Source organism: Homo sapiens, chromosome 8 (assembly GCF_000001405.40).
Source record: "Homo sapiens chromosome 8, GRCh38.p14 Primary Assembly".
Lineage (NCBI taxonomy): Eukaryota > Metazoa > Chordata > Mammalia > Primates > Hominidae > Homo > Homo sapiens.
Genome location: NC_000008.11, coordinates 98,802,228 through 98,825,830, shown reverse-complemented (window position 1 = coordinate 98,825,830; position 23,603 = coordinate 98,802,228). Strand labels below are relative to the sequence as shown.

The following is a 23,603-nucleotide window of genomic DNA, read 5'->3' as shown; positions in this document are numbered from 1 at the left end:
GGCGGGGCGGGGCGGCCGGGGGCGGGGCGGGGCGGCCGGGGGCGGGGCGGGGCGGCCGGGGGCGGGGCGGGGCGGCCGGGGGCGGGGCGGGGCGGCCGGGGGCGGGGCGGGGCGGGAGGAGCCGCGCTCCTAAGCGGGAGGGAGATCCGCCGCGGAGTTACGGGAAAGTTGGTCCGAGTTCCCAGAGTTTCCCTCTGTGGTGCCCTAGGCTCGGCCGGCCGGTGCCCCGGCTCCTTTCCTCCTTTCGGCCTTCGCCGTCCACCAGGTCCCTCTCTCTGTCCCCGGCCGCCATGGAGCAGCCGCCGGCGCCTAAGAGGTAACGAATCGGGGAGCGGGAAGAAGGAGGGAAGCGGCGCCGGCGGCCGCGGGGCGGGGGTGGCTAGGCCAGGCCCTGCTGCGAGCCTCTCCCCGCCCGCCGGGCCCCGAGCCGGGCGCGCTGAGGTCGGGAGGCGGGTCCGAGTGTCCCGCCGCGTCTGTCCACGGGCGAGGGGACCTGAGGGGAGCGGGAGCCGGAGCCTCCCCTGCGGCCGGCAGGCCTGGCGCGTGGAAAGTCGGGTGGGCAGCGCCGGGCTCCCTGCGGCCTGACCTCCCGGGGCGGGAGGAATTAAATATTAATAGCTACACAGTCTGTAAAACATTGTGGATGTGCTGCTCTGACAGGTGTTCTTCCCCCTTCCCCCTCAAGTTCAAAAGTATTTATGGATGCAAGACAGTGGGAAGTTTAAATTAGAACCCCCTCCCCCAATATAGTTTTGCGTGTAAAAATAGTGCTGCTTTGGTATGGTATTTACTGTTATTAATAGTTTATATTTAATCTTTGACACCTGTGTTGGAAATGTATGCATACAAGAGTGGGATGTGTTTGAGCTAATATTTGCAATGATCTTAGGAAGCCAAATCTAGGTTGTCCATTGACAGAAGTTCATAATATGTATTCCTCTCTCCCCAAGAATGAATTAACGAATTGTTTGATGTTGCTAAAATATTTAACCTCAGTCTTTCATTTTTAACTTATAAAATAAGGATAGTAATCTCTCAGATAGTGCTGTTGTGAAGATTAAAGAGTTCGTATGCTTTGACAGCTAGAGATCTTTAGATGAAAGGTGTGTTCAAGAACATGGGATAATTGAAAAGTTAGGAACTTTGGGAGCTATTGTGAATTGTGTGACTAGACATGTGAGCCTTGAAGCCTGGAAGCCATCTGTTCAGGTGAAAAAAAGGGGGGGTCGTGAAGGAGTTTCCAAAAGGGACCTGCTGTCAGAGCACTTGAGCAAGTCAATTGATAGATTCTTTTCTAGCATTTTGTAAGTTACCTGCATTCTACTCATTGGGCACCGTTTTAATACAATATAAGAGAATTGGGCACTTTTTTCTTTTCTGGAAGAACTGGAAGGAGCACCTCTGAGAAAACACAGTAGTCCAGTTTGAACAACTCTGAATTGAAGTGCAGCTCTCTATTGATTAGCTGTACTGTAAGTTATCAGAGTTTCATTATAGGTGTAAGAGAATCCTTGCCCTTGTGGAGACATTAGAGAACCTGGAGGAGTCAGGGGCAGGTGTAGGCAGCAATTCTGTGGTGATTTATACTTTTCAAAGTGGTGGTTGCACTTTTAACAGACTTATTTTTAGCTTATTCAGAGTCTTATTTTGAAGTAGTGAACAAAAATGCCGCAAAAGCATTTTTGAAGGCGAAAGATATGTGACAGCAATCCCTGATATTTGAATGTCTCAACATTTTTTATAGAATTTTCATATTCATAATATTTAATCCTCACAGCAACCCTATGGAGTAGATTGGATTATAGGCATTAATCCTAATTTATAGATGAGGATGTTGAGAGAGTTTGCCACATGGAAGGCTATGACAGGAATTACTGGCAGTTTTGCCCCTATTGATTATTATCTCCTAATAATGAAATATAGCTACTCGTTTTGAGGTCATCCTGTTTGCCAGGAAATTTAAGTATACATTATTTAAATCCTAAGAAATAGTAATCCTGGCTCTGCTACTTATTATGCTAGTTCTAAGTTTAATTTCTTCATCTGTGAAATGTATTGTGGGGATTAAATGAGGTGATATGTAAAGCACTTGGGACAGAGCGAGACCCTGTCTCAAAAAAACAAAAACAAAACAAAAACAACAAAAGATAATGGGGACTAATTTAATAAATATTTATGTATCACGACTGAGCTTAAGAAATAAAATTTGACAAATATATTTGAAGCCCCTATGTGTTCAACAGTGTTAGTTGTTAACTTATGTTTTCCTTATTATATGAGGCTCAAAGACGTTAAATAACTTGGTCAAGTGGAGAAAGTGCCAGAATTCTGCATCTGATTGGCTACAAAGGCTGTGCACCCTCTTGTTGTATACAGTGATGGCTCTTTTTGAAACTCTCTTTCTTATCATTCCATGATGTAGTGGTCCTCTTTTTCTGTAATCTCCTGGTCTCTGTTGCTTATTCTGCTCTTAATCCTTATAAAAGTGCCATTTTGCTTTTCTGCCTTGAATAACACTTCCTTAGTGCTGACTTTTACATGGCCTTATCGATGTCGTTGATGTTCAAGTATGACTAGAAGCTGCTGCTCAGTTGGCATTTTTTATTTTTTCAGGTAGGTCTTACTCTTTCATTATCCCATCTAGTTTGTCACTATAGCCTATCAAATTTTCTATTAAAAAGTTGGTGGATTAATTTTTTCTGTTTTCTTTCTCAAGAGTACTACCCCATAAAACCCATTCCATGGTTTTATGACCCTCACTTTTGAATTGCAGCAGTACCTTCTAGCTGGACGCTTTAGTCCAGTGGTTTTCAAAACTATTTTGTTTTGTTTTGAGATGGAGGGGTACAATCTCGGCTCACTGCAACCTCTGGCATCCTGATTCAAGCGATTCTCGTCCCTCAGCCTCCTGAGAGGCTGGGATTACAGGCGGGCGCCACCACGCCCAGCTCATTTTTGTGTTTTAGTAGAGACAACGTTTCGCCATGTTGGCCAGGCTGGTCTCCAACTCCAGACCTCAGATGATCCACCTGCCTCGGCCACCTAAAGTGCTGGGATTACAGGCATGAACCACCGTGCCTGGCCCCCGTTGTTCTTTATTTATGTTATAGGCTGTGGGTACTCCCAGCTTTACCTTTATTCACATTTTTCCTTTAGAAAAGTTTGTGTTACTTTTTGCCTGAAGAATAATCTATGTTTTATTCTTCCATCAAAGCCTACCTCATCAAGTATGTTTTCTGAGTACTTTCTAGCCTGAGATATTTCACTGAATTCCTAATGTGATATACATTTGATTATATACCATCTTTTTATTCTATTTTATTACAAAATTTTAGATATCCAGAAGATAATGAGGGCCTACTGCGATGGTGCACGCCTTGTAATCTCAGCACTTTGTGGGGCTGAGGTGGGAGGATTGCTTGAGCCCAGCAGTGGGAGGTTTCAGTGAGCTATGATTGTGCCACTGCACTCTATCCTGGATGACAAAGTGAGACCCTGTCTCAAAGAAACAAAAATAAAAATAAAAACAAAACAAAAAGAAAAAAGAACAGAGCCTAATTTAATAGATACTTAGGTATTACCATCCAGTTTAAGAAATATTAATAAAAATATTACCAATACATTTGAAGCCACCATGTGTATTTCTTCTCAATTACACTCCCTTCCCATCCCCCAAAAGGTAATCACTGACATGAATTGGATATTTGTCCTTCCCATACATGCCTTTATATTTTTAGTATGTTACATATATATGTGTGTGTGTATGTGTGTGTGTGTATGTATGTGTGTGTATATATATATGTATGTATGTACACATATCAACACATAATGTTAGGCATGGGTATTAGGCCTGGCCTTGTCACTGACTTTGAAATTTGCTTCTTTGGGCATCTTCTTCTCCTCTGGGAGTTGGAGATTCCAGTGTGTAGCCCAGTTCAAGAATCATGACTCAGAGACCTAGATGATTTTTAAGGCACCTCTCACCCTCATATTCATTGATTTGGTCTCCTTAACAAGGTTTGTGTTAAACATAGGCAATAGATGTGGTCACCCATGTCACCAACTTGAGGTACCAGAGTAGTTTTTAGATTCCTTAGATTTCGTTAACATACTTGTCACTGAGGTCTTCAGAAGTCCTTTTTTTTCTTTTTAACTTTTTTTTTTTTTTTGAGATTGGGTCTTACTCTATCGCCCTGGCTGGAGTGCAGTGGCACAATCATGGCTCACTGCAGCCTTGACCTCCCTGTGCTCAGGTGATCCTCTCACCTCAGCCTCCCTGATTAGCTGGGACCACAAGCACGCACCACCATACCTAATTTTTTTTTTTTTTAATTTGTAGAGATGAGGTCTTGCCATGTTGCCCAAGCTGGCCAAAGTCGTTATTAAAAGGATTTCCCTCTGGGAAGGGAAATTCATTAAATCATAGATCCCCAACCATTTTGGCACCAGGGACCAGTCTCGTGGGAAACAATTTTTGCACAGATGGTTTGGTTGGGGGCGAAATGGTTTCAGGATGAAACTTCCACCTCAGATCATCAGGCAATAGTTAGATTATCATAAGGAGCGTGCAACCTAGATTCCTTGCATGCACAGCACAATAGGGTTCGCACTCCTATGAGAATCTAATGCTACTGATGATCTGACAGGAGCTGGAGCCCAGAGCAAGGGCGGTAATGCTCGCGTATAGCTCACCTCCTGCTGTGTTGCCTGGTTCCTAACAGGCCATGGACCAGTACTGGTCCACTGTATTGTGCTGTAAAGGAGTTGGGGACTCCTTTATTAAATGATCATTAATTAGCATTTTGGTTAGATGGAATTTGTTGGATTTATTTTATTATTTTATTATTTTTTTTGAGGTGGAATCTTGCTCTGTTGCCCAGGCTGGAGTGCAGTGGCACAATCTCGGCTCACTGCGAGCTCCGCCTCCCAGGTTCACGCCATTATCCTGCCTCACCCTCCTGAGTAGCTGGGACTGCAGGCGCCTGCCACCACACCAGGTTAACTTTTTTGTATTTTTAGTAGAGATGGGGTTTTACCGTGTTAGCCAGGATGGTCTCGATCTCATGACCTCGTGATCCACCCGCCTTGGCCTCCCAAAGTGCTGGGATTACAGGCTTGAGTTACCGCGCAGCCGAATTTATTGGATTTTTTATAGGGGAACTGCTAGCTGAGAGAAAAATGACCACATAATAGTCCAGCTTTGATAGGTAGAAAGGTAAATGACCAGAAAACATGGGCTCTTCACCAGGTGGAACCTTCATAGAAGGGAGGTGGGTCTCTATGATAGACAGGTGGGCAGCATGAAAATATATTTAATACTTGTCAAAGAGAGGACAGAATATCACTGCTGGAGTGAGACACTTTACCAGATAGGCTTGTTCCTCAAATAGGTTATAGTGTTAGTAGTTATTTAAAATGTGTAATTCGTTGATTAAGGTATGGTTGGAGGGCAGGTTAGCATTGAACAATGAAAACACTAAAAGGATAGTAAAAGAATAAGCTATTGAAGCATACTTACTCTCAAGACAGGTGAGTTCTTTAATTTAAGCTATAGTTGGATTCTGTGGCAATTTTTTATTATTATTTTTAATAGTGTGAAAGGGTAGTTTGGGGGAAATAAAATTGAAGGTTGAAGTCATATGTTAGGGGTCCTTCACGCAAATGGAAAGCTAGAAAACACTAATTTCATAAGGGCAAATGAGTGTTTGGATGGATTACCCATCAGAAAACAGATTATTATGGAAAGAAAAAGCAAAGGGATCGGGTTGAGAATATAGAGGAGTTAAGCAGAAAGTACTCATGAATTCTTCAGCATGAAGAGCCCACATCAACTTGTAGCATCTGTAGCCCGGATCTCAGGCCAGGAATTAGGAATGGAGAGAGATAGCAGATAACTCTCAGCGCTTATGAATGGAAGTGGGTGAGAGAAAGCAACACACCAGTTAAGTAGATAGTAGGAATATCACAAAGATATTATTGCAGGGAGAAGAGGGGTGGATGTCATTTTATGTGTATATTTCTAATTTATGTTTCCTTGGAATGTTGGAAAGTAAAATTGTGTGTATATCAGAGAGATTGACTAAATAGAGAGCTGGAGTTGTCTTTGAGAAGATGAACTCTAAGAACTCTTAAAAAAACCCCAGCAGACTCAGAGGAAGGCCCTAGGGAAAATTTCCAATTCTAGAGGTAGGCAAGTGGACAAAATATTCAAAGTAGTTAGTCCAAGGGGAAAAGAACCAACCAAACAGGAGCATCTCTGAATTAACAACTTGGTCCCTAAAGCATCTGCTGTCTTCCCTTTGGCTTTTCTTGGTTAATTTAGGGTGGCATTAACTTGATTAGGATTGCTTTAGGCCGTGCTGATGGGAATAGTCAGTTGGCTCTTCCTTCTTGGAGAGAGGGAGTGCGACAATAAAATTTGCAATACTTCCGGTAAACAAACTTCTGTTGCATGTCAACTAGAGAAACTCAGTCTTTAGTTGACTCTAGGAACACTTCAGGCCATCATATATTACTGGCTTTCAACATTTAAAAAAAAAAATTCATTGATACTGAGACTCAGTACAGACCCACACATTTACATAAATGGGAGGTAGAGGTGGGACAATTGCTTGAGCTCAGGAGATTGAGGCTGCAATGAGCCATGATTGTGTGGATGCATTCCATCCTGGGCAACAGAGCAAGACCCTGTCTCAAAAACGTTCATTGGGCTGGGCACGGTGGCTCACGCCTGTAATCCCAGCACTTTGGGAGGCTGAGGTGGGCAGATCATGAGGTCAGGAGATCGAGACCATCCTGGCTAACATGGTGAAACCCTGTCTCTACTAAACAAAATACAAAAAATTAGCCGGGCATGGTGGCGGGCATCTGTAGTCCCAGCTACTTGGGAGGCTGAGGCAGGAGAATCGTGTGAACTTGGGAGGCGGAGCTTGCAGTGAGCCGAGATTGCGCCACCGAACTCCAGCCTGGGCGACAGAGACTCCGTCTCAAAAAAACAACAAAAAAAATTCATTGTTTGCATACATACCGTGAATATCGACATGAAGATTACCTTGAATTTCTGAAAGTACATCATAGGAGTATATCTTGAAAAATGACTCATAGCAAAATGAGAATTACAAAGTGTTAACATTAATGATAATTAGTTTAGGTAGTATTATTTTGAGTTCTGAATTAGTTTATAGATTTATATAATACCAGACATCTTAGTATAGAGGTGAATTGAGTAAATTTTTCAGATGTTTCTGCTATCTTGATACACACACACACACACACACACACACACACACACATTTATAATTTATAATTGGCAGCTAATTTTCTTGACTCTGTTTATGGAACCAAGCCACATAGTCTCCTGTTCTCTGTTGTGTTGCTCTGTTCTTTCTGAAAACTGGCTTTCTTTACTTACTGATCACTACTCATGGCAAAATTGGCATTCGGCCTTTACTTCATTCATTTCCTCATTTATTCATACATTCAGTAATTATTAATTGTTTTCCACATTCCAGATGCTCATTGGTGAATGAAACAGGTGGGTTCTTTGCCCTCATATAACATACACTCTTGTTGTAGCTTGAGCTATGAAAGATATAAGTAGTGTGTAGAGAAAGATGGTGAAACCTGCTTAATAGGGCAGTTGGCAGAGGCTTCTCTGAGAAGGTGATATTTAAGTTGTAACCTGACATTGAGAAGTTATCCATGTGAGTAGCAAGGGAAAAGTATTCCAGGCAGGGGGGAAAGCTATGAGAAGGCCTGGAGGTGGGAAAGAGCTTAATGTGTGGGAGGAATTGAAATGACACCAGTGTGCCTGGATTGGAGAAGAGGACAGTGGCTAGAGATGAGCTCAGAGAGATGGGCACGGATTCAATGATGCCGGCCATGGAAAGGAATTTGGATTTAAGTCAGAGCTCTGTGTGCTGTCATTAAAGGTTTTTAAGCAGTTTATGTTTTTAAAACATCCTTTTGGCTGCTTTGGGTAGAGTAGATTGTAGAGGGTTAAGAATAAAAGAGAAACAAGTTAGGAAACTATTTGAATAGTTTGTGATTTGAGATGGTAGAGTCAGTGGAGATAGAAGTTGAGAGATTTGCGATATTTTGGAGTTATAAATGAAGGACTTGCTGATAGACTAGATGTGGGGAATGAGGGGAAAAAAAGAATCAATCCTGGCTCCTATGTTTTGAATTGAAACAACTTGGGGAATGAGGAAAGACCGGGAGAACAGGTTTGGATATCTATAGTCTCTTTCTTGGAATTTCATAATCCCAAGAAAGTGAATCTGATTGGCCTAAAATGTGATATTAAGTGGTTCCTTTAGAAGAGGAAGTGGGTAGGGAGGAAATGATGCACACTGATTTCTATTTTTTTTTTTTTTTTGAGATGGAGTCTTGCTCTGTCGCCCAGGCTGGAATGCAATGGTGCAATCTTGGCTCACTGCAACCTCCGCCTTATAGGTTCAAGCAATTCTCCTGCCTCAGCCTCCCAAGCCGCTGGGACTACGGGCGTGTGCCACCACACCCAGCTAATTTTTGTATTTTTAGTAGAGATGGGGTTTCACCATATTGGCCTGTCTGGTCTCGAACTACTGACCTCAGGTGATCCACCCACCTCGGCTTCCCAAAGTGCTGGGATTAAAGGCATGAGCCGCCATGCCCGGCCTGATTTCTATTTTTATCCTATTGTTTTCACTCAGTTAGAGTAGAGAATGGAAAACATATCTAGCCGTTTTTAGGTGTTGACATGTTCAGGTGTGCTGGTAACCTGCTATTTTAAAAAAAATCTTTTTATTGCAAAATAAAACATTAGTACAGAACACATGTATGGCTTGGTGAATTATTATAAGGCAGATACCTTTGTAATCACCCCTCAGGTTGAGAAATAGATCACAGTGGCCTTTCCCTATAAGTAATCATTTTCCTGACTTGTGTAGTAATAACCCAAATGTGCATTGCTAGATACTGTAGGTTAGTCTTGATGATTAAGAAATAGTAAGTTTTGGCCAGACACGGTGGCTCACACCTGTAATCCCAGCACTGTGGGAGGCCGAGGTGGGTAGATCACCTGAGGTCAGGAGATCAAGACCAGCCTGACCAACATGGCAAAACCCCATCTCTACTAAAAATACAAAAATTAGCTAGGCATGGTGGCAGGCACCTGTAATCCCAGCTACTCGGGAGGCTGAGGCAGGAGAATCCCTTGAACCCAGGAGGTGGAGGTTGCAGTGAGCTGAGATTGCACCATTGCACTCTAGCCTGGGCAACAAGAGGGAAACACTGTCTCTAGGTTGTGTTTTGTTTGTTTGTTTGTTTGTTTGTTTTTTGAGACAGGATCTTGCCCTGTCACTGAGGCTGGAGTGCAGTAGTGCAATCTCAGCTCACTACAGCCTGACCCTCCTGGGCTCAAGGGATCCTCCTGCCTCAGCCTTCTGAGGAGCTGGGACTATAGGCATTGGCCACCATGCCCAGGTAATTTGTGTATTTGTAGACATGGGGTCTTGCCATGTTGCTTAGGCTGGTCTTGAACTCCTGGGCTCAAGTGGTCTTGCCTTGGCCTCCCCAAGTGTTGGGATTATAGGCATGAGCTACAGCACCCAGCCCAAAAAGCAGTTTTGATATGAGTTGTCACTTTTAATCTTTAGTTTAGTCCTCCATCCTTTTCCTTTTCCTGTTGGAGAACCCAGGTTGTTTGTACTAGTTTCCCAGAGTTGGATTTTGCTGATTGCTTAATATAGGTCAGTTCAACATGTTCCTTTGTCTTCTGTATTTTCTGCAAACGTGCAGCTGGATCCAGAGATGGAGCAGACTCAAGTTCGATCCCTTAGGCATTGTGATATATATATATATATAGATGGGGTTTGGCAAGACCATGGGAATATCATAATGTCTAATTGTCTTTCTTTTTTGTGATGTTAGCGGCTGTGGATGGTTAGTGGGTGTTGCAATATAATGAAATTCTAAATACATCATTTTGCTTTCATTTATTAATTGGAATGTTTTTATAAAAAGTAACTTCCCCTCATCTTCTGTTTAGTTACCCAGTGGTACTGTTGATAAAGGAAAGACAGGATAAATGTTTGATTCTTTCCTTTTATTTACAAGTTTTCAAGATAACGAATTAGTTCCCTGTCTTTCTCCAAAGGTGGCCATTTTTTTTTCTTTTAAATGCCATTATGAGAAGATGGATTTAAACATACTTGATGGATTTAATCCATTGGAATCACTTTCACTGAAGCGCAAATTGTCTCACCTTTGGTTAGTGGGAGTCTCTTCAGGAGATAACATGACCCTAGTGGTTTTTGATAGTTTCCTTGTTGTCTGCTGTGATATTTGGGGCCCATCTTGTATACTTCTTGTCCTAGATCTGGAATCATCCATTTCTCCAAAAAGCCGTGGTTTCTCTTAGTAAGAAATGATATTTCAAGATCCTAACCTGGAGACTAATATCCTAATAACTAATATCCTGTTATTTTTAATAGCATTTTATTCATAGATAGGATAACTGATTTTTTCTTTCAAACTATGGATATTCTGCCAAAAGTGATGACACTGGTGGTTTTGAGCTCTTTTCTCTGGATAGTCTCTCCACTACACATTTATTTTCTAAGTTTGAGTCAGAAATTGGGCATATATAAATTCAAATTACGTGATATAGACTATTCAGAGCAGACTTTTATCTTTATGTTCTTCCTATTTGCTCTGGTTGCTCTTTGACCCACTATAATCCTAATACCCAGTCTTACTTTTTTCTCACCACTAAATATTTCAGATGACCTAGTGTCATTTTAAATGAAAAAGATAGAAAATAAAATAATCCAAGACAAATAACACCACTGTTGATAAGAGCAGATTTTAGGCTGGGTGCAGTAGCTCATGCACTAATCCCAGCACCTGGGAGGCCGAGGCAGGCAGATTGCTTTAGTCTAGGAGTTCAAGACCAGCCTGGGCAACATGGCAAAACCTGGTTTCTACAAAAAAATACAAAAATTAGCTGGGCATGGTGGTGCACACCTGTGGTCACAGCCAGGAGGCTGAGGTGGGAGCATCACCTGAGCCTGGGACGTTGAGGTTCCAGTGAGCGATGATCATGCCACCGCACCCCAGCCTGGGCTACAGAGTGAGACCCTGTCTCAAACTAAAGTAAACTAAAAATAAAAAAAATTTGCCAGGTGTGGTGTTTCACGCTTGTAGTCCCATCTACATGGGAGGCTGATGTGGAAGGATTGCCTGAGCCTGGGGGGTTGTGGCTGCAGCAGGCTGTGATTGTACCACTGCACTCCAGCTTGGGTGACCTGGTGAGACCCTGTCTCTACAACAAACAAAAAATTAGCTGGGCGTGGTGGCGCATGCCTTTGTCCCAGTGACTTGGGAGGCTGAGGTTGGAGGATTGCTTGAGCCTAGGAGGTTGTGCTGCAGTGACTTGTAATTATACCACTTCATTCCAGCTTGGACTGCGCTTGGGTGACAAAAAAAAAAAAAAAAAATGCTGGGCGCGGTGGCTCACGGCTGTAATCCCAGAACTTTGGGAGGTTGAGGCAGGTGGATCACCTGAGGTCAGGAGTTCGAGACCAGCCTGACCAACATGGTGAAACCCTGTCTCTACTAAAAATACAAAAAAAATTAGCCAGGTATGGTGGCAGATACCTGTAGTCCCAGCTACTCGGGAGGCTGAGGCAGAATTGCTTCAACCCAGGAGGTGGAGGTTGCAGTGAACTGAGATCATGCCACTGCACTCCTGCCTGGGCGACAGAGTGAGACTCCGTCTCAAAAAGAAGAAAAAAATCAATTAAAGATTCAGTTGCCTTTTTTAGTTCTCAAATCTAGGTATGGTTATTTCAGAATACTTACAACGAACTGGATTAAAATGTATGAGCCTTATAGGTGTCCATATTTCTAATAAAATTATTTTTAATTTTTATTTTACTAGAACATGAATATGTTAGGGAATTTTCAAATTTATTTTAATAGGACGTGAATATGTTAGAGCATTTTCAAATTTGTCTATATTTTCTGAATTTGTGATTTTTGAGTAATTAGTAATTAAGAAAGCGAATGTAATAACATGTCTTAGGGATAGGGAGTATGTTGCAGTGTTTGTTAATTTTGTATAGGTTTGTTACAAGAAATGTAAAGAAATCATATCACTTTCCAGTTTATGATAAGTGGAGAAAATTCTTAGATAATAAAAATTAGAGTCCAAGGGTGAAGGAAGAAGAGAAAATTTCAGCTTCTTTTAAAACTCCTTGCCAGAAAATTATAATTTTAGAGTACTTTTGGGCAAAGAGCCCAACTTAAGAGGAAATGGTATGATAGAGTTGAAAAACAAGACTTTCATATAATTAAAAAAGCTCTTCTGTCTATTGCAGAGCATTTATTTTCTTAGGTGGTTTCAGGTCTTTATGGTGCCAATAATTAATTAAACCCCCATAAATTTAATACTGTTTTATAAAAGTAAATACACTATGAGATCATCAGATTACATCTATTTTGCTATCAAAACAATGATAGAAAGTGAAGCAATTAAGAGCTGGTGCTTTAGAGTCCGATAGATGTTGGCTCTAATCTCAGCTCTGCCATTTACTGAAATGCAGTGGTGGGCAAGTTATTTAGCTTTTCTGTCTGAATTTACTCGTAAAATGGAAGTTATATACTACCTTCTCCTTGAGTTTTGTGAAGATTAAATGAAATATTGATTGTAAAGCATTTGTCTCTGAAGACAGCTTCCAAACTGTTTAAAAAGTGTGTCTGACGTCGTCAGCATCTTTTGAAGAAACACATCACTTTCTTTTTTTTTTTTTTATTGTGCTTTAAGTTCTAGGGTACATGTGCACAACGTGCAGGTTTGTTACATATGTATACATGTGCCATGTTGGTATGCTGCACCCATTAACTTGTCATTTACATTAGGTATATCTCCTAATGCTATCCCTCCTCACTCCCCCCACCCTACAACAGGCCCTGGTGTGTGATGTTCCCCACCCAGTGTCCAAGTGTTCTCATTGTTCAATTCCCACCTATGAGTGAGAACATGCGGTGTTTGCTTTTCTGTCCTTGTGATAGTTTGCTCAGAATGGTGTTTTCCAGCTTCATCCATGTCCCTACAAAGGACATAAACTCACCCTTTTTTATGGCTGCATAGTATTCCATGGTGTATATGTGCCACATTTTCTTAATCCAGTCTGTCATTGATGGACATCTGGGTTGGTTCCAAGTCTTCGCTATTGTGAATTGTGCCACAGTAAACATATGTGTGCATGTCTTTATAGCAGCATGATTTATAAACCTTTGGGTATATACCCAGTAATGGGATGGCTGGGTCAAATGGTACTTCTAGTTCTAGATCCTTGAGGAATTGCCACACAGTCTTCCACAATGGTTGAACTAGTTTATAGTCCCACCAACAGTGTAAAAGTTTTCTTATTTCTCCACTTCCTCTCCAGCACCTGTTGTTTCCTGACTTTTTAATGATTGCCATTCAAACTGGTGTGAGATGGTATCACATTGTGGTTTTGATTTGCATTTCTCTGATGGCCAGTGATGGTGAACATTTTTTCATGAGAAACACATAACTTTCTAAGAGTATAAAAAGACGATGTTCACTTCTAGTTCTAGTTGAATTTTTTAAGAAAAATCAACTTTATTACTTCAGAGCTAAACATTTGCTAAATATTTATAAAATGTTGAGCTTTTAAAAGGCAAAAGGGAGCAGGATTGAAAAAAAAAATGGCCAGGCATGGTGGCTCACCCCTGTAATCCCACCACTTTGGTAGGTTGAGGTGGCCAGATCACTTGAGATCAGAAGTTCGAGAACAGCCTGGCCAACATGGTGAAACCCTGTCTCTACTACAAATACAAAAATTAGCTGGGTATGGTGTCCCATACCTATAATCCCAGCTACTTGGGAGGCTGAGGCAGGAGAATTGCTTGAACTTGGGAGGCGGAGGCTGCAGTGCCACTGCACTCCAGCCTGGGTGACAGACCAAGACTTCGTCTCAAAAAACAACAACAAAACCTTTCATTTTACTAGTTTGAGGTAAAAATGTACTTCCTGTAGTTGATGTAGAAAAGATGTTTTATTTTGTGGATTCAAGATCAGACTCCTCAATGTATAATTTAGAAAATGCTTGTTATTTAACGCTAACTTTGAGACTTTTTGACATCGTTTAATAATGTTACATTGAAGGACTAAAGGATGAAAACCTTTCATGTGTTTTAAAGATGTATTTTTTTTTTTTTTTAACAGTATTCAAGATGAAACTGCTAGGGTACAAGAGGTTTTTTTTTTTTTTCTTTTTTCTTTTCTTAAATGGAACACTTAATGAATTTGCATATCATCCTTGTGTAAGAACCATGATAATCTTCTCGGCATCATTAGTAGGACTTAATTTTAAATGAGATTTCACATATGAGATGAAGGATCATGCCTAGCACATAGCAGTAACACTTATGACTCATTAAGTAGCTACTATTAGTAGTGATACAGCTACCAGCAGTGTGGTCATTAAAACCTATGCTCTAGTGGATAGGGAAATCTGCCAGAAGAGAAAAAGAGATTGACAGTTACAGAGCTGAAATCAGGTAGAAGGCACTTTATGAAAAAGAAATCTCTGTTCTCAGGGGTGGAAGTTTTTTCTCTTCTGCTGGGTTAGCACTCTTGCCAGTGCCTCTTCTCCATGATTAGTTTCCTAAAAGATCTAGAGGGCAGATACCAATTGTATTAGTCTGTTTTGTGTTGCTAGTATAAAGGAATGCCTGAGACTGGGTAATTAATGAAGAAAGATTTACTTGGCCCATGGTTCTGCAGGTTGTACAAGCATGGCAGCAGCATCAGCTTAGTTTCTGGTGACACTTCAGGAAGATTTTATTCATGGCAGAAGGCATGGGGGAGCAGGTGTGTCACATGGGAAGAGAGAGGGACCAAGAGAGAAGAGGAGGTGCCAGGCTCTTTAAACAGCCAGCTTTCTTGTGAATTAATAGAGTGAGAACTCACTCATCGCCAGGGACAACACCAAGCCATTCATGAAGGATCCTCCCCCATGACCCAAACACTTCCTACTAGGCCCCACCTCCATCATTGGGAATCACATTTCAACATGAGATTTGGAGGGGACAAACATGCAAACTATATCACCAATTATTTTTGACTAGAGAGCTAGATCTGATTGTACAGAAAGCTTTCCTCTGTGTCTCTCTTTAAAAGCTTTTCTCCAAAACAAATAACCCAAATAAAAAGTGGGCAAGGAACTTAGAGATTTCTCCAAAGAAAATGTATACATTGGCCAATAAGCACATGAAAAGATGCTTGACATCACTAGTAATCAGGGAAATGCAATGGAAACTACAATGAGATGCCACCTCATAGTCTTTAGGATGACTATTATTAAAAAAAAAAACAGCAGAAAATCACAGGTGTTGGTGAGGATGTGGAGCAATTGGAGCCCTTGTGCATTGCTGGTAGGAGAGTGAAATAGTGCACCCACTGTGGGAAACAGTGTAGCAATTCCTCAAGAAATTATAAACATAGAATTACCCTGTGACTCAGTAATTCCACTTCTGGGTATATACCTGATATGCTTTGGATCTGTATCCCTGCCCAAATCTCATGTCAAATTGTAATCTCCAGTGTTGGAGGTGGGACCTGGTGGGAGGTGATTGGATCATGAGAGCAGTTTCTCATGAATGGTTTAGCACCATCCCACAGTGCTGGTCTTGTGATAGGGTTCTCACGAGATCTGGTTGTTTCTAAGTGTGTAGCACCTCCCCATCTCTCTCTCTTCCTCCTGCTCTGGCCACGTGGCCATGTGAAGTGCTACTCCCCCTTTGCCTTCCACCATGGTTGGAAGCTTCCTGAGGCTTCCCCAAAAGCAGAGCAGAAGCTGCTATGCTTCCTGTATAGCCTGCAGAACCATGAGCCAATTAAACCTCTTTTCTTTATGCATTACCGAGTCTCAGGTATTTCTTTATAGCAGCGCCAGAACGGATTAATGCAATACCCAAAAGAATTGAAAGCAGGGTCTCAAGATATTTGTGTGCCTATATTCATAGCAGCATTATGTACAACAGCCCAAAGGTGGAAGCAACTCACGTGTCCACCAGCGGATGAATGGATAAACAAAATGTGGTATATATATATACAATGGAATATTATTCAGCCTTAAAAAGGGATAAAATTCTGATACATGTTACAACATGGATGAACCTTGAAAACATTATGCTAACTGAAGCAAAGTACACACAAAAGGACAAATTTGTATGATTCCACTAGAATAGTCAAAGTCATAGAAACAGAAAGTAGAATAGTGGTTACACGGGACTATGGGGAAGTGGAAAATGGAAAGTTATTTAATGGGTATAGAATTTTGGTTGGAGATGATAAAAAACTTTTTCTACACTTATAAGACTTCTGACACCAAATACATGGGGTTTTCTCCCTACAGCTCTCAGTTCTCTGTCCTAGCATTTAATTCAATTTTGATACTATCTCCCTGGAGTGAGTGTCAGACACCACAGGTTAAGGACTGAGTTGTATAAGACTTCCACCACTTCAGATGCCAGTTGCAAGCCCCAGGCCTCTGGTACTTCTGACTTGGCTACAAATCAAGTTCAGTCATTGGCTACAATGATTCATTGAATGCAGGGAAACACTTTACTTACTATTACCAGTTTATTATAAAGGATATACAGATGAAAAGGCACATAGGGTGAGGTCTGGAAGGGTCCCCAGTGCAGGAGCTTATGTCTCCATGGAGTTGGGGTGCATCACTCTTTCAGCACGTGGATGTGTTCATCGATCCAGAAGAAATTCTCTGAGTCCCATCATTTAGGGTTTTTATGGAGGCTTCACCCTGTAGGCATGATTGATTAAATTATTGGTCATTGGTGATTAGGTCAGTCTCTAGTCCTTCTCCCCTCCCTGGAGGTGGGGCTGAAAGTTCTGACTATGTAATCACATGATTGATTTCTTGGGTGACCAGCTTCCCTACCCACTCCCCTGCAGCTTTGTAGGGGCCTACCAAGAGTCATCTCTTTAGCATAAGCTCAAATATGTTTGAAAGGGACTTATTATGAATAGCAAAAGATAATTCTTCCACCCTTATCATTCGGGAAATTCCAAAGGTTTTAGGGGCAGTGTGCCAGGAATTTCTTACTAGATCACCATATTATAGATGATGAAAAAGTTTGGGAAATGGATAACAGTAATTGTTGCACAAGAGCTGAATGTATGGATCACTGAATTGTACATGTTAAAATAGTAAACTTTATGTTGTGTATATTCTGCCACAATAATAAAAAAAAGCCTTTAGCCAATCATAAACAGCTCTCTCCTTTCTTCTGAACTTTTCCTGAGTCTCTTCAAAACTGAAGAGACATCCTTAGCAGAAGTTACAACCTGTCCACAAACTTGCAAACTGCTGTTCCAAGGTTGGAAACAGAGAAAATAAAGAAAGAGGACCAAATATAGTCCCTTCATTTTTTCTGCCGTAAGGCCTTTTATGACTGACTGAGCTGTTTCATGTGTTTTGGTGTTTGCAGACTTTTCAGAAACAGCTCCAGTCCTCTCACTTCACACTTTCTTTCCTGTCCTGCCCTCATGTTTTCATATAATTTAACACAGATGCTTTCTGCTACTTCTTAGAGAAGATTGAAATACAGTGGCTGTTAGGAAGAGGTGCTGCCTTATGTACTTTCATCTTAATTTCATTTGATTATTGTTCTACATAATTTTTGCTTCTGTCACACGACAATTTTTTCTCTTCTTCCTTTTATCTGACCTTTGAACATGTCCCTTTTCATAGCTCTTAGGACTTTATTCCTGTAATCACACTTTTGCCCCCCAGTTTAAAAATCTGTTTCTACGAGTGTATTCTGTTTCAGCCTTCCAACATGGTCAGGCCTTGTTTATTAATGAAACTACTCTAGGTTGCAAATTAGTTATTGTTTTGGCAAGACCAGAAACTTTTTCTCTGTTCTTAACATTCCTCATATCTGTTTCTTGAAGTTTTCTCTGGCATTTTGATTCTCCTGTTGCCTCTGTTTCTCTGCCTGCTTTATGTTCGGTTATGAACTGATCTTCACAGTGCATAATTGACAGTGACTTTGCATTTTCTATCTTTTCCTCCTTTATTTATTTATTTTGCATAGTTATTTCCTTGGTGAGTTTATCTACTCTAATGGCTTCAATTTGATTGAAATGACCCACAAATACTTTTGAGACTTGGAATTTTTGTACTCAGTCTTATTCACTATTTCCAGTCTCCTAAATAACATTTGATTACTGGTCGGGTACAGTGGCTCACACCTGTAATCCCAGTACTTTGGGAGCCAGAGGTGGCTGGATCTCTTGAGGCCAGGAGTTTGAGACCAGCCTGGCCAACATGGCGAAACCCCATCCCTACTAAAAATACAAAAAATTAACCGAGCATGGTAGTGTGCTTCTGTAATCCCAGCTCCTCGGGAGGCTGGGGCACAAGAATTGTTTGGACTCAGGAGGCAGATGTTGCAGTGAGCCAAGATCATGCCATTGCACTCCAGCCTGGGCAACAGAATGAGACTCTGTCTCCAAAACAAAACAGAAACCCCCAAAACCAAAAACCCAAATATTTGATTACTGTCTCCTTAAAGGCATTATGTTCAGAACTGAATCCTCACCTTCTACCTAATCCTTTTTTTTTTTTTTTTTTTGAGACGGAGTCTCGCTTGTCGCCCAGGCTGGAGTGCAGTGGCACGATCTTGGCTCACTGCAAGCTCTACCTCCTGGGTTTGCGGCATTTTCCTGCCTCAGCCTCCCAAGTGGCTGGGACTACAGGTGCCCGCCACCACGCCTGGCTAAATTTTTGTATTTCTAGTAGAGACGGGGTTTCGCTGTGTTAGCCAGGATGGTTTCGATCTCCTGACCTTGTGATCCGCCTGCCTTGGCCTCCCAAAGTGTTGGGATTACAGGCGTGAGCCACCGTGCTCAGCCCACCTAATCTTACCGTGTTCAGCCCACCTAATCTTTACTAATTGGCGTTGTCACTTTTTCCAGTTCACATTTGGTGTGTGATTCTTTCCTCTGCTTGGTTTCCTATATTATTTACTGTTACTTAGGTCTCTTAAGACTCAAGGTAGAGAAGTACATAGATTATCTTCAGTAATAGAAGTTTATTGTGAGGATACTTGGGAAATGTGCATGGGGTAGCATGCTCCCTCTGAGCTCCAGTGTTTTCTAATACTGGGTTGTTTAACAGGCTCCATTAACACAGGGACTAACAGCTTAGAGTCACTTGGAATAATGACTTGAGCTCCAGTGACTTTTGTCTTTGTTCAGTTAGCATGTATACTTTGCTGAAATCTAAGATTAATTGGGTCATTTTGCAACCATAAAATTTGGAATATCCCCATTGGCCATTTCAGCCCTGGTAGGGATGCTTTTGGCCTTTGCATCGACTTCTAGCCATATATGTGTATTTTTTATTGCTGTGGTAGCAAAACTGATTTAAGTTGAAGCAGGTCATGGTTAGCCATAAGCGTTTATATAGGAAGATATATTTTTTTTTTCCCATAAAGGCATGTTTTAAGTCACAGACATTTTGAGGTTCCTTTAGGTCTCCAGGAGTTAGCAAATTTGTTTTCATTTGTTTATTCATTTATTTATTAGATATGTTATTTAAACAGTAGTGTGTGAGGTTCTGTGGTAGGTATTTAATGGAAATAGGCTAGATAAGACATGATCCATATCTTTATGGAATTCATATTCTAGCTCTAGTGATATTCTCATACAGTACATAATAATGAAAGGAATAATGAATCACTGTACTAAGTACTACAATGAGGCAGGTGCCAAGTGCTGTGGGACCATAGTAGACAGTGGGACTAGTTCTTTGTGTATGTGTGTGTGCTTGTGTGGATGGGTGGGGACAGTGGTAGAAGTGAGGAGGTGATTTCTTTAAACTTCCCAGAGAAAATTTTTGATTGTGTCTTTAAGGAGGTGGTTAATTTTGACAGGCAGAGAGAAGGGGAAGATCATGTTGTAAGAGAAAATGGTGATATAGAGGTAGGGCCTGTATTATCTCATCATGAAGAGATAGCTGCTAGTCCCTTCTCAAATCAGTTATGAAGGTCTCCTGCATTATCTTCATTCATTCATTTTCCAACACAAAATTTGAATGCCTTTCCCATTCCTGTGTTCTACTGTCTATTTCTTATGTAACATACAAGTGACTGCACACTATCTGCTTTTTATATTACAGTTATTATTATTATTATTATTATTATTTTTTGGAGATGGAGTTTTGCTCTTGTCGCCCAGGCTAGAGTGCAGTGGCATGATCTTGGCTCACTGCAACTCTGCCTCCTGGGTTCAAGCAATTCTCCTGCCTTAGCCTCCCGAGTAGCTGGGATTACAGGCACCCGCCACCATGCCTGGCTAATTTTTGTATTTTTAGTGGAGACGGGGTTTCACCATTTTGGCCAGGCTGGAACTCCTGACCTCAAGTGATCTGCCCGCCTCGGCCTCCCAAAGTGCTGGGATTACAGGCGTGAGCCACCGCGCCCGGCCTATATTACAGTTATTGTGGGAGTTTTAAAATGTTATGTGAGAATTCAGGACCTTTAAGAAGTAGTTCACTCTGGCTAGGCTGTAGGAAACAGAAATGAGATGACTGAGAAGGTCTTAGGTTCCGCAGTTAGTTATGAGTTTTGTCTTGCATGTAGTGAGAAATGATTCTGCTTTTGAAATATCTCTTGAATTATTTCCCATCATTCTCGCTATTTTTAGCTCAGATCTTTATCACCAGATTTTTGCAAGAAACAAAACTACCCCCTAGTTTTGCACATTTCCAGTTCTCTTATAAAATTTGGCTTATAGGACATTTAGAAGATTAGGAAGAAGTCCCTGGAGGAAGAGTATCTTGGTTCATCTTATACAGTCAGCAGTGTTCCGCCATTAGCATAACCACCATAATTTAGCACTTCAGAATTTTATTCTCTGATTCTCTCATACCACATTTTCCTAATAACATAAATGAAATTGCTATTGACCTAGACCAACTATTATGTAATATGGCATAGTGATTTGGAATTTAGGAAGCATAAAAGAAGCTAAAAGTTCATCTGTTTAATATTTCTTGAGTGCATACATTGTATAGCACTGGGAGAAGAGAAACTACTGAATCCTGTGCTCTAGAGGCTCATAGGTTAATGGTTGTAATAGTGTATTTCAAAGTGGAGATAACTAGTTGAGTTGAAGATAAGAAATTCTTGGGAAGACTTCCAAAAGGATATCTACCTTAAAAAAGGTGACTATTGTGTTATACTTGATAGTAACTGATGGAACTGATAGAGTCCACTTTGGTGTTTACTAGCATCCTAATAATGAGAGACACTATATTGTATCTGGGACAGGGTTTATTTGGTTTGATTCTGTTTTGCCATTTATTACTCAAGTGACTGAGGAAGTCATTTAAGTCTTAACGTTTTCTTATCTAAAAACTGAGAATATCGTAGTAACTACCAAAAAGATTGTTATAGGGATTAAATAAGAAAATGCTTGTTTGGCCAGGTGTGGTGGCTCACGCCTGTAATCCCAGCACTTTGGGAGGCCGAGGTGGGCGGATCACTTGAGGCCAGGAGTTCAAGACTAGCCTGACCAAAATGTTGAAACCCCATCTCTACTAAAAATACAAAAATTAGCCAGGCGTGGTGGTGTACACCTGTAATCCCAGCTACTTGGGAGGCTGAGTTGGGAGGATTGCTTGAACCTGGGAGGCGGAGGTTGCAGAGAGCCAAGATTGCACCACTGCACTCCAGCCTAGGCAACAGAGTGAGACTCTGTCTCAAAAAAAAAAGAAAGAAAATGCTTGTTAAGTGTCAGCACAATGCCAAAAAAAGAACCTAATAAATGTCAGCTACCTTTATTATTATGTTTCATTTAGCTTTTATTCATCTATCTTTCCCACTAGATTGGGAGCCTCTTGGTTATCAAGGGCTACAACTTAATTTTCTTTGGATTACCCTAGCAGGTAACTTATTGTCTACAAATTCAGTAAGTGTGTATTGAATGAATATAATGGACTAATTTTTTAAAACTGATTTTATAATTTTTTGTACCCGTTTTAAAGATTCATTTTAGAAGTATTAGTTTCCTAAAGATAGTAAGGTTATGTTATTGCTCAGCAGCAGAATTCACTCACAGGGATAAGACTGATTAACAGGTTATTGTTTTTACTATTTCTTTTCTTTTTTTTTCTTTTTTTTTTTTTTTGAAACAGAGTCTCACTCTGTTGCCCAGGCTGGAGTGCAGTGGCGCGATCTTGGCTCACTGCAAGCTCCGCCTCCTGGGTTCATGTCATTCTCCTACCTTAGCCTCCCGAGTAGCTGGGACTACAGGCGTCCCCTACCATGCCCGGCTAATTTTTTGTATTTTTAGTAGAGACGGGGTTTCACCATGTTAGCTAGGATGCTGGTCTCCATCTCCTGACCTCGTGATCTGCCTGCTTTGGCCTCCCAAAGTGCTGGGATTACAGGCGTGAGCCACCATGCCTGGCCTGTTTTTACTATTTCTGATTGCCGTGGCCAGTTTATTCATTCAAAGTATAGAAGAGGCCTTTCTTTTTTCAGTGTATAAGATGATTTTATTGAATGCATTTCATGAAGTAATTATTGAATCAGGCAAATAAATTTTAATTTTGTTATGTGAGATACAATTTTAAAGGTTTTCCCCCAATAACAGAAAAAACTGAATGTTTATTTGAGAAACCGTATGAAACAAAAGCGTAGAGAGAATCATACCCCAAGGGAAACCCTGTTGTCTGGAATTCTAAAACCTTTACCTGCAACAAGTATGTATTGTTCTTATTATGTTCCAGGTACAGTTTTTTGTGCTGGGGATAAAGCAGTGAATGAAACAAAGTCTGTCAGTATTTGGCAGAAATACACACATATGCAAACACGCACATACACACACAGATGCTCACATTTAAAAAATGGTTCAATTCTGTACATATTATTTTGTAACCTGCCTTTTTTTCTCTTAGAAGTATATTGTGAATTCTTTTTATATCAATGAGTTTTCTGCAACATGATTTTTAGTGGCTACTTGGTATCTCATGGAATGAGTGTTCTATAACTAATTAATATTTTATGTTTGGACATTTAATTTCCTTCTAAATTTTGTTATAAATAATTTACAATTAATACTGTTTTTTGTGTCTAATTATTTCTAAGAACAATTTAATTAGATTTAATACCTATTGTTTACTCTTTAAAAATCTTTTTATTAGGGAGAACTTTAAACATAGTTTAGCAAAGTTGAGAAAGTGAACCTATATGTATTCATCACCCAGTTTCAACAATTATTAATTCCTTGGCCAATCTTACATAATATATTCCCCTATATATACTGCATCCTTTATTATTTTGAAGTTAATCTTAGATATGTTCTTAACTTGTAGCATGCATCTCTAAATGATAAGAATATTAAATAATTTATCACCATATTAGCATTATCTGTGGTATAATTTGAAATGTAACTTATTCTTGAAATTATAAAAAATTAGGAAGAATTTGGAGAAAATGGAGACTATTCTATACAGAATCTTCACCTCCCCTCAAGATTTAGAAAACTTTGT

General features: G+C 40.7%; 1 protein-coding gene across 21 annotated transcripts in view, besides 1 other annotated feature; it reads left to right on the top strand.

Moving 5' to 3' along the window:
- STK3 (serine/threonine kinase 3) overlaps positions 1–23,603 on the top strand; it is a 598,636-nt gene that overhangs the window by 116,780 nt on the left and 458,253 nt on the right. For 13 of the 21 annotated variants that reach the window (XR_007060753.1, XR_007060752.1, XR_007060755.1 and 10 more), the window contains exon 1: positions 143–316. The exons of the other annotated variants lie outside the window; for them this stretch is intronic. Coding sequence is in view for 10 of the 13 variants with exons in the window: in XM_047422133.1 (XP_047278089.1) it covers positions 291–316 (26 nt within the window). In the remaining 3 variants the exon portion in view is untranslated. Of the gene's footprint in view, positions 1–142; positions 317–23,603 lie in introns of those variants that run through there. 21 annotated transcript variants of the gene reach the window in all.
- Positions 67–576: a silencer, noted in NCBI's record as "silent region_19398". NCBI's record gives its function as "represses an Ori minimal core promoter by ATAC-STARR-seq in GM12878 lymphoblastoid cells {active_cell/tissue: GM12878}" and the evidence as "EXISTENCE:reporter gene assay evidence [ECO:0000049][PMID:35858748]".